This window comes from Homo sapiens, chromosome 11, assembly GCF_000001405.40.
Source record: "Homo sapiens chromosome 11, GRCh38.p14 Primary Assembly".
NCBI classification, from domain to species: domain Eukaryota; kingdom Metazoa; phylum Chordata; class Mammalia; order Primates; family Hominidae; genus Homo; species Homo sapiens.
This window is the reverse complement of record NC_000011.10, coordinates 68,412,325-68,429,737: the sequence shown is the minus strand read 5'-3', so window position 1 is coordinate 68,429,737 and position 17,413 is coordinate 68,412,325. Positions and strand designations below refer to the sequence as shown.

At 54.4% G+C, this 17,413-nt stretch overlaps 1 protein-coding gene across 12 annotated transcripts in view, besides 3 other annotated features; it reads right to left on the bottom strand.

The window, feature by feature from the left end:
• Positions 1–17,413, bottom strand: part of LRP5 (LDL receptor related protein 5) — a 150,864-nt gene that overhangs the window by 19,538 nt on the left and 113,913 nt on the right. For 10 of the 12 annotated variants that reach the window (XM_011545031.2, XM_011545029.2, XM_011545030.2 and 7 more), the window contains 6 exons: positions 15,726–16,049; positions 13,211–13,410; positions 6,041–6,249; positions 4,446–4,636; positions 3,551–3,760; positions 38–163 (listed from right to left, as the gene is read on the bottom strand). In XM_011545031.2, coding sequence (XP_011543333.1) covers positions 38–163; positions 3,551–3,760; positions 4,446–4,636; positions 6,041–6,249; positions 13,211–13,410; positions 15,726–16,049 — 1,260 coding nt within the window. Of the gene's footprint in view, positions 1–37; positions 164–3,550; positions 3,761–4,445; positions 4,637–6,040; positions 6,250–13,210; positions 13,411–15,725; positions 16,050–16,434; positions 16,659–17,413 lie in introns of those variants that run through there. The other 2 variants (XM_017017736.2, XR_001747874.2) reach the window with 2 other exon arrangements.
• Positions 10,616–11,539: an enhancer, noted in NCBI's record as "NANOG-H3K4me1 hESC enhancer chr11:68185667-68186590 (GRCh37/hg19 assembly coordinates)". NCBI's record gives its function as "activates a minimal SCP1, AML or CMV promoter by ChIP-STARR-seq in naive H9 embryonic stem cells {active_cell/tissue: H9 hESC(naive)}" and the evidence as "EXISTENCE:reporter gene assay evidence [ECO:0000049][PMID:30033119]".
• Positions 12,104–12,173: a silencer, noted in NCBI's record as "silent region_3671". NCBI's record gives its function as "represses an Ori minimal core promoter by ATAC-STARR-seq in GM12878 lymphoblastoid cells {active_cell/tissue: GM12878}" and the evidence as "EXISTENCE:reporter gene assay evidence [ECO:0000049][PMID:35858748]".
• Positions 16,482–16,641: an enhancer, noted in NCBI's record as "active region_5139". NCBI's record gives its function as "activates an Ori minimal core promoter by ATAC-STARR-seq in GM12878 lymphoblastoid cells {active_cell/tissue: GM12878}" and the evidence as "EXISTENCE:reporter gene assay evidence [ECO:0000049][PMID:35858748]".

Sequence of the window (17,413 nt, the reverse complement as noted above, 5' to 3'; positions counted from 1 at the left end):
GTCCATCACCCCAAAGGAGCACCTAGGTCACACCTACCTCCACAGGTCAGCAGGTTCTGCAGGAGCACGAGGTGGACTGGGCATGAGCACCGTGGTGTCCCATCACCCTTGGCAATACAGATGTGGGAGCAGCCACCATTGTCACGGGCACATGGGTGGGCTGCTGCAAAGACAAAACAAGACAAACAGAGGTCAGGCTCTGTCTCCCACCTCAGAACCACAGCCTGGAGGGTAGGGGCCAAATGAGAACTCATGAGAACTGGCCCTCCTGCAGGCCCGGCCTCTCTGGGAGGATCCTCCCACTTATTCCTCTTGGCAGCCTACAGAGTCTTCCTACTGACACGGAAATTGACACACAAATGGATGCCGGAAACAATTACAGAAGTTGCTTGACATCACAGGCCAGCCTGTCTGCACCAGTCTCTACTGTGCCCATACCATCAGTCTGAACTGCCCACTTGTCTCTCCTCCTATTTACTTACTTTGAGACAGGGTCACACTCTGTCACCCAGGCTGGAGGGCAGTGGTGCGATCATGGCTCACTGTAGCCTTGATCTCCGTGGGTCGAACAACCCTCCTGCCTCAGCCTCTTGAGTAGCTGGGACTACAGGCATGCACCACCATGCCTGGCTTTTTTTTTTGAGACAGAGTCTTGCTCTATCGCCCAGGCTGGAGCGCAGTGGCATGATCTCGGCTCACTGCAAACTCCACCTCCCGGGTTCATGCCATTCTCCTGCCTTAGCCTCCCAAGTAGCTGGGACAATAGGCACCTGCCACTGTGCCTGGCTAATTTTTTTTTTTTTTTTTTTTTTTCACTTTTTGTAGAAATGGGGTCTCATCATGTTGCCTAGCTACTTGTAAACTCCTGGGCTCAAGTGATCCTCCCGCTTCAGCTTCCTAAAGTGCTGAGATTACAGGCGTGAACTACCACACCTGGCCCTCTTCCCGTCTTTCATTGTATAAGGGGTTGGATAGTGCCCCCCAGAAAGATACACCCATGTCTTAAGGCCTAGAATCTGTGAGCATAACCTTTTTTTGGAAAAAGGGTCTTTGCAGGTTAAGGATCTCAAGACGAGGTCATCTCGGATGATTTGGGTGGGCCCTAAACCCAATGACAAACGTCCTTATAAGAGGCAACACAGACAAGAAGAAGAGGTAAAGACGCAGACACAAAGGAGATGGACACATGAAGATGGGCAGAGGTTGAGGCGGCGCATCCACAAGTGTGGAACGCTGGCACCCACAGCACTGGAAGGGCCAACAAATAGATCCTCCCTGGAGCCCCCAGAGGAAGCACAGCCCTCCCAACAGTTTGGTCGCAGGCTTCTGGTCTCCAGCACATTGGGGGAATCCATTTCTGTTGCTTTAAGCCATCCAGTTTGTGGTCATTTGTTACAGCAGCCGTGGGACACTAATACACATGGGAATTAAAATAGCAAATGGTGCCAGGCGTGGTGGCTCATGCCTGTAATCCCAGCACTTTGGGAGGCCGAGGTGCGTGGATCACCTGAGGCTAGGAGTTGAAGACCAGCCTGGGCAAAATGGCGAAAACCCGTCTCTACTAAAAATACAAAAAAATTAGCCTGGTATGGTGGTGGGTGCCTGTAATCCCAGTTACTTGGAAGGCTGAGGTAGGAGAATCACTTGAACCTGGGAGGCAGAGGTTGCAGTGAACCGAGATCGCGCCACTGCACTCCAGCCTGGGCGACAAAAACGAAACTCCATCTCAATAAATAAATAAATAAATAAATAAATAAATAAAAAAAATAAAATAAAATAAAATAAAATAAAATAGCAAATGGACCAAGTCCCTGGGAACTCGCGTTATTCTATCCAGTTAACCAAATGTGTCCAACACCCGGACAATGAGAAGAAGAGGAGGCAGCTTGGAGGGAGAGCTGACCACACCCAGGTGGAAGAAATGACAGAAGACGCTCTGTTCCCTGCCCCACCCAGAAAAATTTCACAGTGTCCTTACTCAGTCTCAAGGATTCAGTGTTCGGTTTTTTTGGGATAGGGTCTCTTTGTCACTACCACCCCTGGCCCTTTTTTTTTTTTGAGACGGAGTCTCACTCTATTGCCTAGGCTGGAGTGCAGTGGCGTAATTTTGGCTCACTGCAACTTCCGCCTCCCAGGTTCAAGTAATTCTCCCACCTCAGCCTCCCCAGTAGCTGGGAATACAGGCGCCTGCCACCACACCCAGCTAATTTTTGTATTTTTAGTAGAGACGGGATTTCACTATGTTGGGCAGGCTGGTCTCGAACTCCCAACCTCAAGTGATCAGCCCACCTTGGTCTCCCAAAGTGCTGGGATTATAGGCATGAGCCACCAAGCCCAGCCTGGTCCCTTTTTGTTTGTATTTTTTGTAGGGATGGGTTCTCACCATGTTGCCCAGGCTGGTCTCAAGTAATCCTCAGATGGTTACCATGGAGGGGAGGAAGGACTGTGGTCCCAGCTGTGGAGGCCCCTCCCCCAAGCCCTGGGACACAGCAAGGCAGTGGCAGGCAGAATCCTAAATGACCCCGTAATTTCCCACCCCAGTCCCCAGCACGGCGTCATGACCTTATGTGGCAGAAGGGATTCTGCAGATGTGATTAAGGTTATTAATCAGCCGACTTGGAGTCTATCAAAGGGGAGGCTAACCTAATCTAAAGGTGGCTGAGCCGAATCACAGGGCCCTTTAGAAGCAAATCAGAGAGACTCAAGGTGTGGGAGGGACTGACGCAGGGAGCCCCCACTGCTGAGGCAGAGAGGGCCACGGGGCAAGGACCTGTGGTGGCCTCTAGGAGCTGAGAGTGGTCCCCGACCAATAACCAGAGAGAAAACAGAACCTCGATCCCACAACTGCTACCTGCTGAGTGAGCAAGGAAGCTAATTTCTCCACAGAGCCTCCGCTGAGGGCCCAGCGTTCCTGACACCTTGATTCTGGCCCCGTGAGACCCTGAGCAGAGAACCCAGGTGAGCCACGCTGTGCCTGGACTTTGCCTTACAGAACTGAGAGACAATCCGTGGGTGTTGTCAGGCCAGTGGCTCACACCTATAATCCTAGCACTTTGGGAGGCCACAGCAGGCAGATAGCTTGTGCCCAGGAGTTGCAGACCAGCCTGGGCAACATGGGGAAACCCCGTCTCTACAAAAAAAAATTAGCCAGGTGTGGTGGTGCCCACCTGTAGTCCCAGCTACCTGGGAGGCTGAGGCAAGGTGTTCACTTAATTAAGCCCAGAGGTCGAGGCTGCAGTGAACTGTGTTTGCACCAGGGCACCCCAGCCTGGGCAACAGAGCAAGATCCTGACTCAAAAAAAAAAAAAAAAAAAGAGTTGGTGTTGTCTTAAAACGCTGTTCGTGGTGATTTGTTCTGCGGCAAAAGAAAACAACCTCAGAGGCCTCGGGACATTCGGACATGTCGCTGAACCCCAGCGGGCAACAGTTGGCATCTGGCAGAGACCACCGCCTGGCTGAGGCCACACAGGATCTTGCACTGGCCTCCAGCCTCCTCCAGGGGTCGGGTTTAGAGGCCACCCTGCCCACCCCACTGCCAGCCCCCACGTACAGAACTCCTCCAGGCTGACTTCCTCCACTGCATGGATGCCAGTGAGGTGGGCGACACGGCCCTGGATGCGAGTCCGCTTGTCCCCGGTGGTCTTCTCCACACGCTCGATCATCTGCTGCTGGCGGTCGATCCAGTAGAGATGCTTGCCAAGGATGGTCAGGCCCAGAGGCTGCACGATGTTGGCGTCCTCCAGGGTCAGGCGGTTGGCCCCTGCAAGCAGCCCGTGGGCCCCCCTGAGCAGTGCTGACCTCCAGAACTTGCCCCACACTCAGCTTGGGAGGACAGAGGTTGACAGGACTGCCAGGGAGCCTGGGGGATTCCATGCTTTGGACAGGGGTGGGAGCTGCAGCAGAGTCCCTGGAAGCAGGCCGACCCAAGACAAGCCCTCGGAAAGCCCTGCTCCCACCTGGGCTGGGCTCGGGATGAAGGCCATCAGTTCCAACGGCGGGCCTCGGTCACTGGCCCCTGCAAGCATGGCCCCTCCCTTCACCCATCTACCTCATCATAAGAGGAAAAGCCATGGGGACCTGCGCCCCCTCTCTAAGCACCAACTCTCATTTCTCTCCAGCCCTCGCAGCCTAACACAGTCCAGAGCAGAGCAGCTTCTTGCGCAGGTGCTGGGGGCAGAGGCTAGGCTGCAGTCCTGCTCCATCTCCTGCTGTGGGGCCCCAAGCAGCTCGCTCACCCTCTCTGAGACTCATTTTCTGCCTCTGCCCTGTGGGGCTCACTCAGAACCCCAGCCTACAGCTGTCAGTGTGAGGACAAAACACGCTACACACAAAGCCCCTGGCGCGGCACTGGGCTCACGGCAGGTCTCGGACAATGTGGCAGCTGCTGCCATTACTGACAATGAAGGCCGGGTGTCTGCGGTTAGGGCAGGCCCCGGGGCGCGTACCTGACAGGTCACAGCTCTCAATGCGCTTCAGGTCCGCGTCCACCCAGAACAGCTTGCCCAGTGTGTTGTCCACCACCAGGGCCACAGGGCGGATGAGGCCGGTGGTGAAGAGGACCTCGCGCTCGGTGCCGTCCAGGGCTGCGCGTTCGATCTTGGCTGCCCGGTCCTGCATGTTGGTGAAGTACAGGTACCTGCGGGAGGGTGGCGGGTGAAGGACGGGTGTGGGGATGGCGTCTCCTCGGACAGCACGGAGCCCAGGGCACCCAGCTGGGCTGTGGAAAGCCCCTGCCTCTCAGGGCTGCCCGAGGCTGACAGGTCACATTCTATACTAGTTGAACAATGCTCTCCAAATTCCCGCTCACCCCAGAACCTCAGAATGTGAGCTTATTTGGAAGCAGGGTCTTTACAAATGTCATGAAGGATCAAGATACGACCACAATGGGTGAGGGTAGGCCCTAAATCCAACTGAAGTGTCCTTCAATGGTACAGAAGAGGCCACGCCATGTGCAGCCAGACAGAGAGACTGGAGTGACAGGACCACAAGTCAAGGGGTGCCTGGAGCCACCAGAAGCCCAAAGGTTCCCTCAGAGCCTTCAGAGGGCGCAGGGCCCTGCCCACACCTCGATCTCGGGCTTCAGCCCTCAGGAACTGTGAGAGAACAAGTGTCCATTACTCTCAGCCACCTGGCTTCTGGTAATTTCTGACAGCAGCCATGGGAAACAGGTGCAGGCCCCCCACAGCTGCTAAGGACCCCGGAGCCCTGGCTGTTGGGAGACCAGCTCGGCTGGCTCCTGCACAGCCGCCTTATAGACCCGGGGCTTCCGCCCACCGAGCCCCCCGTGTGCTGCAGAGGCCGCACCACTGTGGCCGTCACTCCTACCAATGAGGAAACTGAGTCTCCAAGAGGCTATGCCACCCGCCCAAGGTCACGTGGCCAGTAAGTGACAGAGTCAGGGCTCAATCTCTGGGCTCCCGGCCCAGGACCTGTGCTGGCTGTAGCTCCCGTCTTCATGCCAGCCCCCCAGCTATCTGAGGAAGGCCATCGCGCTCCTGTCCCCAAACGTTCCCGTGCTCAGTTTGGAGCCTGAGTTTCATGTCACATGGGTTTCGGTCTCCCTCTTTCCCTGGCTTTTCTCTCTGGAGACCTCAAGGTCCTGGGTGCCTTCCCACCAACCAGAAGCTCTGACGACCAACAGGTGGGAGCGTCGGGGGCCTCTGGGAGGAAGAAGCCCAGGAGCTCCCTGTGGTGGAACAGGAGCGAGTCAACAGGCAGCCCCCATGCCGTGGAAGGGATTTCTGCACAGGGTTCAAGTTTAACAAGGATGATACAAAACCTATCAACTGCAACTCCCGTCGGCCAGCGCTGCCTTGTAACCTCTCAGCAGAGCTCCCCCTTCCCTTCCAGCCCTTGGGGCTTTCTGCTTTCCTGGAGGGGCTGTGAAAGAGCCTGTGTTTGCTTTTGGGACCCTGGAAAGCCACCCATTGGATCCCCAGGGTGGAAAGTCTCCCCAGCCTGTGAGAGGCTGGCATTCGGCAGAAGACACGGCGGGCACGCCTGGACGGGCAGCACCCCCACCCACCCGTTGGCCTCCTACCCTCGCTCCGCGTTGACGACGATGGCCCTGGGCTTGTCGCGGTCCCCACGCAGCACCACCCCCATGGCTTCCCCGCTCAGCCTGTGGACGTTGATGGTATTGGTGGCCTCGCACGTCCAGAACAGTGTCCGGCTGTAGATGTCGATGCTGAGGTCGTGGGGCTGCCTGTCTGGGTTTTGGCCTTGGCTCAGAGAGGTCAAAACAAAGGGCTGTAAGACAAAGAAACCAAGACTCCTGAGCACTGGCGGAGACCCCTGGGCACTGGCGGAGACCCCTGGCACTGGCGGAGACCCCCGGGCACTGGTGGAGACCCCCGGGCACTGGCTGGAGAGCCCTGGGCACTGGCTGGAGAGCTCTGGCAGGACAGCAGAGGCCACACTTCTCAAGTTTAGCCTGAAAGTCAAATCCCAGTATTGGTGTGGGGGTCTCTCCTCTCCAATCAGCTCCTAACTACGTGCCCGCCTGAGTATGCCAGAGCGATTAGGACAACAGCCTCTGGAAGAGCTCTTGCCGCCTCGGACTTTAGGCCTCCTCAGCCACCCGCCGGGCACCCAGCTGTGCATCACTAGACTGGCGCTCCCATGAAGGCCCCATTGACAGTCGAGAAGGGATCCAAGACCATGGGGCCCTTCCCAACACATCCCTGTCTCCTCCACCTTCCAGGACTCAAGCTTTTGGACTGCGGCCCTCACGTACTGTTTTCTCTGCAGGGCACCAGGACAGACAGTTTGGGGGCCGCCCCTTACAACCCCTTCCCCAACGGAAGGAGGCCAGGTGAGGGGAGGGCAGGTGAGGGTGGGGGTTAGGTGAAGGTGGGGGACAGGTGAGGGTGCAGGGGCGGGTGAGTGGGGGAGGTGAAGGTACAGGGGAGGTGAGGGTGGGTAGGGAAGGTGCGGGTAAAGGGATCGGTACAGATGTGGGGGTAGGTGAGGCTGGGGGCCAGGTGAGGGTGGGTAGGGGCAGGTGAGTGTGGGGAATGACTCAGAGCCCCTCTTGGGAAGGCAGGGCAGCCACGTCTCTCAGTGACTCTCAAGGACTCTCCGTCTCCACACTCTCTGGGGTCACCGTCCAGGAGATGCTCGAGCGCTGCCTAAGCCCAGCCCACCCTGTGCATCTCAGGGATGAGCCTGGGCTTTTGGGGCCTCCGACACAGCATCCCTTCGAAGGGCTCTTACTGAGCTGACGTAGGAGGAGAGGACAGCCCAGAAGCCTACTGCCTGCGGGGATCTGGTTCCTTTGGGTTACCCTGAAAGACAGCTGCATCCAAGTTCCCGAGTGATTTGGCCTGGGGCAAATGGGGCCTGGAGCACCTGGGCTCCTGCCACCCAGGCCTGAAGGAAAAGCTCCCCTCCCTCTCCATTGAGTCAGAGGGAATCATCTTAGGATGGTGCTCTGATAGTAAGTCTTTTCAGACTTTCTTTATCTAGGTCTTTCAGCAGTTAATAAAACAGGGAGACAGCAGTGGCTCACACCTGTGATCCCAGAATGTCGGGAAACTGAGGTGGGAGAATCACTTGAGTTCAGGAGTTTGAGACTAGTCTGGGCAACATAGCAAGACTCCATCTGTATCAAAAAAAATTAAACCAACCAAACAAAAAAAACAATAGCTCAGTATGGTGACGCACGCCTACAGTCCCAGCTATTCAGAAGGCTGAGGTGGGAGGATCGCTTCAGCCTGGGAGGCCGAGGCTGCAGTGAGCTATGCTCATATCACCATACCCCAGCCTGGGTGACAGAGTGAGACCCTGTCTCAAAAAAATACAAATAAAACAAAGTCTCTAAGTAGATAAAAAGAAGCGTCTTCCCCAGGCCCAGTCTCTTGGACCCAGATGGAAAGGGTGCCTCCCCCATACACACACACACACCACACACCACACACACGCGCACACACACACACACACCCCACACACACACACCCCCAGATGGAAAGGGTGCCTCCCTCCCCCATACACACACACACACCACACACACACCACACACACACACACACACACACACACACACACACACAGCCTTGCTGGGCAGCTGCAAAGACATCATCACTTTCATCTGGACACGAAGGATCATGTGTCTTTGTAGATAACAACATCCACATCACTACAGAGCTGTGGACCCTAGGGGGCCATGTGTCAAAGCCAACTGAACAAATTCCTTCCTAAAAGCCACTAGCTGTGGACCCTGGACTGGTACAGCTGCCGGGCTGAAAGACAAGCAAGATTCCAGCTACCCTGGCCAAAATCAGGCTCACCGTGGAGGGTGGGTCTGTGGGAACCAGATGCAAAAACAGACTTTGGGACAGCAGTCTGGAGAACCACCATCTGAGAAACGTGTACTGTGTGACGTGACACCCTGGCCACACTCCTCCCGGGCACAAAAACAACACAGCAAACTTTACGCGGCTGGCCAGTTTCATAAACCCTGAACTCTTTTTTTTTTTGAGACGGAGTCTTGCGTGAGACAGAGTTTTGCGTGAGACGGAGTCTTGCTCTGTTGCCCAGGCTCGAGTGCAGTGAAGCGATCTCGGCTCACCGCAAGCTCCGCCTCCCGGGTTCACGCCATTCTCCTGCCTCAGCCTCCCAAGTAGCTGGGACTACAGGTGCCCGCCACCACACCTGGCTAGTTTTTTGGTATTTTTAGTAGAGACGGGGTTTCACCATGTTGGCCAGGATGGTCTTGATCTCCTGACCTCATGATCCGCCCGCCCTGGCCTCCCAAAGTGCTGGGATTACAGGCGTGAGCCACCGCGCCCGGCCCCTGAGCTTTCATTTTAATGTAGTACAAATACTTATGGTTAGTGCAAACTTTCTTACCAGAATCCTATGCAACACCACAAACACGCCTTTTCCTCACTAGTACAAAACCTTCACCACGGAAGGAAATGTTCATAGTGGCCTTATTCACGACAACCAAAGGTGGAAGAAACCTAGCACCCGTGGATGGATAAATAACAAGAAGTGGTCCGTCCATCCATCCGATGATTTTTTTTTTTTTTGAGACAGGAAGTCTCACTCTGTTACCCAGGCTGGACTGCAGAGGCACAATCTTGGTTCACTGCAACCTCTGCCTCCCGGGTACAAGCGATTCTCCTGCCTCAGCCTCCTGAGTAACTGGGATTACAGGTGCGCGCCACCACACCCAGCTAATTTTGTACTTTTAGTAGAGCCAGGGTTTCACTATGTTGGCCAGGCTGGTCTCAAACTCCTGACCTCAAGTGATCTGCCCACCTCGGACTCCCAAAATGCTGGGATTAGAGGGTGTGAGCCACCGCGCCCAGCCTTTACAACGGGTTATTATTCAGGCTTTAAGGAAGGAAATTCTGACACAGGCTATAACACAGATGAACCTTGAGGACACCATGTCACATGAAAGAAGCCAGTCACACAAGGGCAAATATTGGTATAATTCCACTTACATGAGGTACCTAGAGAAGGCAGAGAGAGATACAAAGTAGAATGGTGGCTGTCAGAGGGAGATGAGGAGTGTGTTCAATGCGGACAGTTTCGGACATCTGCCGAGAAGGTGAAGTAGTCTGGAGATGAATGGCAGTGATGGTTACCTCGTGAACTGACTGAATGCCACTGAACTGTCAACTGCAGAATAGGTAAAATGGGCTGGGTGCGGTGGCTCGCGCCTGTAATCTCAGCACTTTGGGAGGCTGAGGTGGGTGGACTGCTTGAGTCCATTTCAAGCCCAGCCTGGGCAACATGGTGAAATCTGTCTCTACATAAAATACAGTTAGCCAGGTGTGGAGGTGCACAACTTGAGCCTGGGAGGCGGAGGCTGCAGTGAGCCAAGAGCCCACCATTGCACTCCAGTCTGGGTGACAGGGCAAGACCCTGTCTCAAAAACAAAAAAAGGCCGGGCACGGTGGCTCACACCTGTAATCTCAGCATTTTGGGAGGCCGAGGCGGGCGGATCACCAGGTTAGGAGTTCAAGACCAGCCTGGCCAACATGGTGAAACCCCGTCTCTGCTAAAAAATACAAAAATTAGCCAGGCATAGTGATGGGCACCTGTAATCCCAGCTACTCGGGAGGAGGCTGAGGCAGGAGAGTCGCTTGAACCTGGGAGGCAGAGGTTGCAGTGAGTTGATACCACGCCACTGCACTCCAGCCTGGGCGATAGAGTGAGACTCCATCTCAAAAAAAAAAAAAAAAATTAAAATGGCTGGGTGTTGTGGCTCATGCCTGTAATCCCAGCACTTTGGGAGGGTGAGGTGGGAGGATGGCTTGAGTCCAGGAGTTGAGACCAGCCTGGGCAACATAGCGGGTCTCTACAATAAAAAAAAAATACAAAAAATCAGCCAGATGTGGTAGTGTATGCCTGTAGTCCCGGCTACTAGAGAGGCTGAGGTGAGAGGATCACTGGAGCCCTGGAGGCTGAGGCTGCAGTGAGCCATGATCGCACCACTGCACTCCAGCCTGGGCACTGGGGTGAGACCCTGTCTCAAAAACAACAATAACAAAACAATTAAAATGGCAAATTTTATGTTATATATATTTACCACAATAAAAAATAAAAACAATTAATAGAAAACAAAACCTCGGCCAATTGGATGATAATTTAGACACCATCTTTTGGGGGAGCAGGGGGACTCCTAATAAAGAATCAAAGCCAGAGTCCACAGAGCGGGGAGGCTGCAGGAGGCTGGACCTTAGCAAAAGACACAGGAGGGGAAAAGCACATTTTCCAAATTAAGTGGAAAACCTTCTGGGTTTTCTTCCAAGTCTTCATCACTTCTGCCTAGCAGACACCATAAAAGAACGCAGCTCCAGTGAAACTCTAAGGCAATGTACGCCCAGGAGCTTTCTCAGCATGGGAGCCACATCCATCAATTAACACGTCCCTCTCTCCAAAGGACTCCACGTGACAGTCACCTGTAGCAAGCAAGATGAAAGGAATCCATTTCCACCACCCACACCACAGCAGAGGCAATGATCACAGCTGCCCAGGAGAGAAGCTCCAGGGAGCCAGGCATGGCTCTGAATTTCAATTCGGCTGACTTTTGCCATCAACCAAGGACACAGACCTCACAGTACAACGTAACTAGAAACTGCTGCGGGAGGAAGGATCTGGTGGAAAGGGGCGTCCAGCCTGTCTGGACGGCACCAGCCTTCAGATGGGGAGCACAACAGCGAAACCGACGGCGGACATGGCGACCCATGTGAAAGTCTCTCCAGGCGCTCAGCCTCTCTCTGCCTCAAGAAAGTACCAAGATTTCACCACAATAACACAAGCTCCCACACCAACACTCGGTGGAGAAAGAGGCCGTGTGGCTCTGTAGGTTTTTTTTTTTTGAGATGGCGTCTCGCTCTGTTGCCCAGGCTGGAGTGCAATGACATGGTCTCAGATCCCTGCAACCTCCACCTCCCAGGTTCAAGCAATTCTGCCTCAGCCTCCCGAGTAGCTGGGACTACAGGCGCGTGCCACCACACCCAGCTAATTTTCGTATATTTAGTAGAGATGGGGTTTCACCATGTTGGCCAGGCTGGTCTTGAACTCCTGACCTCGTGATCCACCCACTTCGGCCTCCCAAAGTGCTAGGATACAAGCGGGCTCTGCAGTTTTTGTAAAAGAAGGCTGCTTAGGAGCCAGGCCTGTCCTGGAATTCTACACTAATGAACCTGTTGTGCCCCATGCTGCAGACTCCAGGTGGGCCTGAGGCCGCCGTGAGCACATCATTTGTGGAACAGGCCACACAAGCCTGACTCCGCAAAGTGCTCACTTCCGCTACAGCACTTGTTTTTCTATTTTTTATTTTTTGAGATGGAGTTTTGCTCTTGTTGCCCAGGCTGGAGTGCAATGGTGTGATCTCGGCTCACCGCAACCTCTGCCTCCTGGGTTCAAGCAATTCTCCTGCCTCAGCCTCCTGAGTAGCTGGGATTACAGGCACCCGCCACCACACCCAGCTGATTTTTGTATATTCAGTAGAGACGGGGTTTCACCATGTTGGCCAGGCTGGTCTCGAACCCCTGACCTCAGGTGATCCACCTGCCTCGGCCTCCCACAGTGCTGGGATTACAGGTGTGAGCCACCGCGCCCAGCCTAGCAGTTGTTTCAAAAATGCAAATCTGGCCGGCCGCGGTGGCTCATGCCTGTAATCCCAGTTACTCAGGAGGCTGAGGCAGGAAAATCACTTGAACATAGGAGGCAAAGGTTGCAGTGAGCCAAGATCATGCCACTGCACTCCAGGCTGGTGACAGAGTGAGACTCCATCTCAAAAAAAAAAAAAAAAAAAAAAAAAAAAAAGCCAATCTGTTCCAATGCAATGATGTATTAGGACAATTTGAGCACAGCACGGTTTCACATTTGCTCATGCACAATTTCCTCCACGAGAAACATTAAGTGAATGCAAAAAACTACAGCCGGCAGGGAACTGCGCAGGGTCACACCCACACACACACCTCCGTCTCTGACCTCCCTGGGCTCACTGCTGGGGCCATGACCCACTCTTCTCCACGCCTGGGGTGAGAACTTTCCATTTGATTTCCCACAATCCTCCTTCCAGTGTTTCACAAAAACTCATGCGCTACACCCTTCCACACTCATAAGCCAACTCCAGATCTTCCCAAGGTGAAGTGCCGTATTTATTGCAGCATTAACGTTTACGAATGCACAGTATTGTGGGATATAGCTAACCATTTAATGTGCAAAAGGCACTTTGCTATTTCCCAGGTTCCTCTCTTTTCTTACATGTCATTGATGGAGATTTTGAGGGCTGTGCCCTGGCCCCGCTTTCCCTATGAGTTGTGTCATTTTTACTGTGCGATTTTGCATAGGTGTCTTTCAGAAGAGCATATACAGCATTGTAGCAGAAATGACTGTACAGTTCCCACAAAATAAAGGATAAACCTGGATTAACCAGTACCAACTACCCCTGCATGACACACGACCATTTTCTTTCTTGAAAAGACAAAAGTCCTGTGGGGTCTGACCCCACCATGACTACTTAAACAACGGGGAAACCCAGTTTCTACATATAATCACAGTCTCGGGGTTCCACGCATCTCAGGGTCATACCCTGTGACTACATAATCGAAGCCCAAGTCATCATTCACCCAGAGCCATCCTCTGTTTCCTCCCTCTGCTAAGGACAGGGGCAGCAGCCTGGAAACCAGCAAGAGGAGCGCCTTGGGAAGCACACCCCGCACCCTTCCCACAGGGCACCTGCCTGGGTCCCGTCGTCCTTGGCTCGCTTGATGTTCTGGCGCCCATCCACCCAGTAGATGAACTTGTCCAGTGGGTCATAGTCGATGGCTTTGACGTTCCTCAGTCCATGCAGGGGCAGGATGAGATCCGGGCTGTGCTGGTCGTCCGGGATCATCCGACTGATGGCAGATTTCTGGCTGAACAGCAAGAAGGTGGTGGGCGCTAGAGGAGGCAAAGACAGGGCTGCAGGTGGGTGTCTGTAAGCCACAGAGGAGCTGGAGGACGGGATAGCACGCCACTCGACAACAGGCGGCTCAGCATCTGCCCCGCTGGAGGTCCACGGGAAAGACGGGGGGACCAGGGCTGTCTCTTGGGGGTGCGCTATGGGGAATTTCATTCTCCGTGTCATATGTGTCTCTGCTGTTTCAAAGTACATGTGTTATTTTTGAAATAGATCATAAATTTATTTTTCTTTTATTTATTTATTTTTTTTTTGAGATGGAGTCTCGCACTGTTGCCCACGCTGGACTGCAGTGGTGCTATCTGGGCTCACTGTAAGCTCTGCCTCTCGGGTTCACGCCATTCTCCTGCCTCAGCCTCCTGAGTAGCTGGGACTACAGGCGCCCGTCACCACGCCTGGCTCATTTTTTGTATTTTTAGTAGAGACGGGTTTCACCGTGTTAGCCAGGATGGTCTCGATCTCCTGACCTTGTCATCCGCCCGCCTTGGCCTCCCAAAGTGCTGGGATTACAGGTGTGAGCCACTACGCCCTGCCATTCATTCATTCATTCATTCATTCATTCGAGATGGAGTTTCGCTCTTGTTGCCCAGGCTGGAGTGCAGTGGCACAAAATGAGCTCACTTGAAACTTCCACCTCCCAAGTTCAAGCGATTCTCCTCTCTCAGCCTCCCAAGTAGCTGGGATTATAGGCATGCCCCACCATGCCCGGCTAATTTTGTATTTTTAGTAGAGATGGAGTTTCACCATATTGGCCAGGCTGGTCTTGAACTCCTGACCTCAGGTGATCTGCCCGCCTCAGCCTCCCAAAGTGCTGGGATAACAGTCATGAGCCACCGTGTCCAGCCCAATAAATTTATTTTTAAATGATGAACACTTAAGACGGAAGGCAGGTAATGGTAGTGAACACTGGTGGTGGAATGTAGTGAAACTCATACCCACGACTGTGTGTGCGGTTTGCTATGTGCCTATGTGTGCACCAGTGAACTGCGGAAAACCGGGCACAGTCAACAAGCCCGAGAGAAGACACTCCTCGAGGGTGTCAGTGAGCAGCACATGCCACCACAAGGCAGCCCCAGAATCAAGCTGGGCCTCCTCTCAGTGCACTGGTACCAGGATCCGAAGAACCAGCTCTCTAGCAGAACCAGAACATCCGTTGGCCTCTCCCTCTCAACAGCTAACAGAGTCTCCTGGCCTGAGTCCTGCCTGGCTTCAGAAGCTGTGGCACTTCGAGCGCACCGTCAGCGGGCTACAGTGGCTGGTCTGAAATCCAAGTCGTTGCACCAGGTACTGCCGGCCACAGGACGGGGACTCTGAGTCATGGCAACCCCTCCTTGCCGTGGGTTACCTGCACCTCCATTTGGCTCTCTAAGGTCATGGCCCCAGGGAGGGATGGTGAGCAACAGGACCAAAGACAGCCCAGGCATGGGAAGTCCCAGACTCTGGCCCAGGCCCATCTCCTGCCAGCCTGGGCCTCGAACAGCCCCTTAACCTTTGCAAGCCTCAAGTTCCCCATCCATGCAGCTGGGACAGGCAAGACCAGCCCCGCCTGCGACCAGGTCTGCGTGAGACTCCAACGGGGCCTGGATGACAAAGAGCTTTATAAACTATCAAGTTCTGCGTAGGGAATCATAACCAGCTCGCTGCTGATGTCATGGGGGAAGAGCCCGCCAACAGGAAACACCTGTACTCCAGAGGGGCCATAGGAAAGTCACTCTTCTCATCACTGACATGAGAACAAAGAGGCCCACCTGCTTCCAAGGGTCAGGGCAAAAATTCCCCGAGCTGATGCCAGGCTGCCTGGCAAGGGTTCAGGAGCAGGGACTCTTGAGCCAGCCTGCCACAGTCAACCCCGGCTCAACCCACCCCAGTTGTATGGCCTTGGATGGGTTGCCACACCTCTCTGTGCATCGGGTTCCTTGTACGTGAAATGGGACCATGCTACTCCCCACCCTCCAGGCTTGAGGAGTAAACGAGCGCTATGGAAAGCACTCAGCACTGTGCTGGCAGTATGAGCAAGCACCCTTCCCCTGTGACTGGTTTTCACACCCAAAGATCCTGCCCAGGACCTTCCAGCTGAGGAGTTTTGGCCATTTATCTATGTCCTGATGAAGCAACAAGTCCATCCAGCCTGGACCTGGACCCCCAGGTAGCATCATGCAGCTTGTGCAGTGCACAACCTACCCAACCATCTATGTACACCCAGGAACCCCAGATGAGAAGCTCCTTTCAGCGTCAGCTCCCAGAACCAGCCTGATCTAACGAGGGAGTGAGGTGCGGGGGACCATGAGGCACTTACGGCTGCAGTTGCGGCTGCTGGGGTCCAGGGTGTAGTGTGAGGCGCAGCCGCAGCGGTGGCCGCCGGGGATGGCAAGGCACAGCTGCCCACACTGCCCGTTGTTGTGCATACAGTCATTGAGGCCATCCTGGCGGGAGGAGTGGAACACCAGGATGTCCATCACGAAGTCCAGGTGGCCCTGGATGAGGGTGCGGTTCCGGCCGCTAGTCTTGTCGGCCCGCTCAATGCTGTGCAGATTCCAGTCTGTCCAGTAGATATAATCGCTGTACTGCGTCAGACCGAACGGGTGCGGGAGATCGTCGGCAATCACGACCCGCTCCTGACCTGCATGAACACACACGGGCACGGTGTCAGCAAAGGCACAGCCAGGCCACAGAGCACACGGCGCCCTGCGGGGTGAGCCAGGGTTCAACCCTGCAGCCTAGCGACCACATGAATGCCTTAAAGTGTTTGGCCACCTTGGAAAACCAGCAAGATCCACTGAAGCGCAGGCAGGATCTAGCAAAATTAAGTGACCTGGCTACAGTCACACAGTTGCTAAGTGGCAGGGCCAGGATTACCACCCAGGCAGCGAGACTCCAGGTTCTTGTTCTCATCATGTCAGGCCTGGCTGTGCATCCTTCACTCCCACAGCAATGAGACCAGGCCTTCCATGTTATTAATCAAGCACTCAGTAAACATCCGGAGCGTTTAAGTCCAAAACACGTACCGAGGAGTGACGGCCAGGCTGCAATGCACATGGCCGCCCTCATTGGCAGGGTCACATGAGTTTCCAGGGCTTTTGCTGGTTTTCATCTGAGTCTGTCCTCACTCCGGGGTGATTAATGAGCTTAATCATTTCAGGCAACCACAGCTGTGCGGTGACTGGTTTCTCGCCTGGCAACAGGTTTGCATGCGGCCTGGATGAGCTGGGTCACGGGATGTGCTGCAGAGCTGGGTGACGGTCACGAAGTCACGTGCAAACCTTGCTACTGGCCTCACAAGTCAGGGTGCAGCCCACCCCCAGCGACAACCAGGACACGGGGTTCAACTGCCAGCTCTGCCTACGCAGTACCTGGGACAAGGCATTCAGCTGGTCGATGCCCCAGCCTCCTCATCTGTAAAATGGGCACAACCACACCCAGTGCAGATGGCGAGTAGGAGAGGCAGAGGTCAGAAGCCAAATTCTTGCTGCCCTTCCTGAGCGGTTCGACATGGCTGACGTGCTCAGAGGCTCTCCTAGGGCCAAGGTCACTGAAGGTCCCTTTGCCAGGGGACAAAAGTCAGGGCTGCCCAGGTGACCCTCTCCTCCCTTGTCTGCCCTCAAGCCAAGGGGTGCCTGGGGACTTGGAGCCTCAGAGCTTCTTTTTCTTCTTCTTTTTTTTTTTTTGGAGACGGTCTCACTCTATTGCCCAGGCTGGAGTGCAGTGGCATGATCACAGCTCACCACAACCTCAACCTCCTGGGCTCAAGCAATCCTCCCACCTGAGCCTCCCAAGTAGCTTGGACTACAGGCATGAACCACCATGCCCAGCTAATTTTTAAAAAATTTTTTTGTAGAGATGGCGTCTCACTACATTACCCAGGCTGATCTTGAACTCCTGGGCTCAAATCATCTGCCCGCCTTGGCCTCACAAAGTGCTGGGATTAGAGGTGTCAGCCACTGCACCTGGCCCTTCAGAGCTTCTGCCCCTGACCTTCTAGTCTCC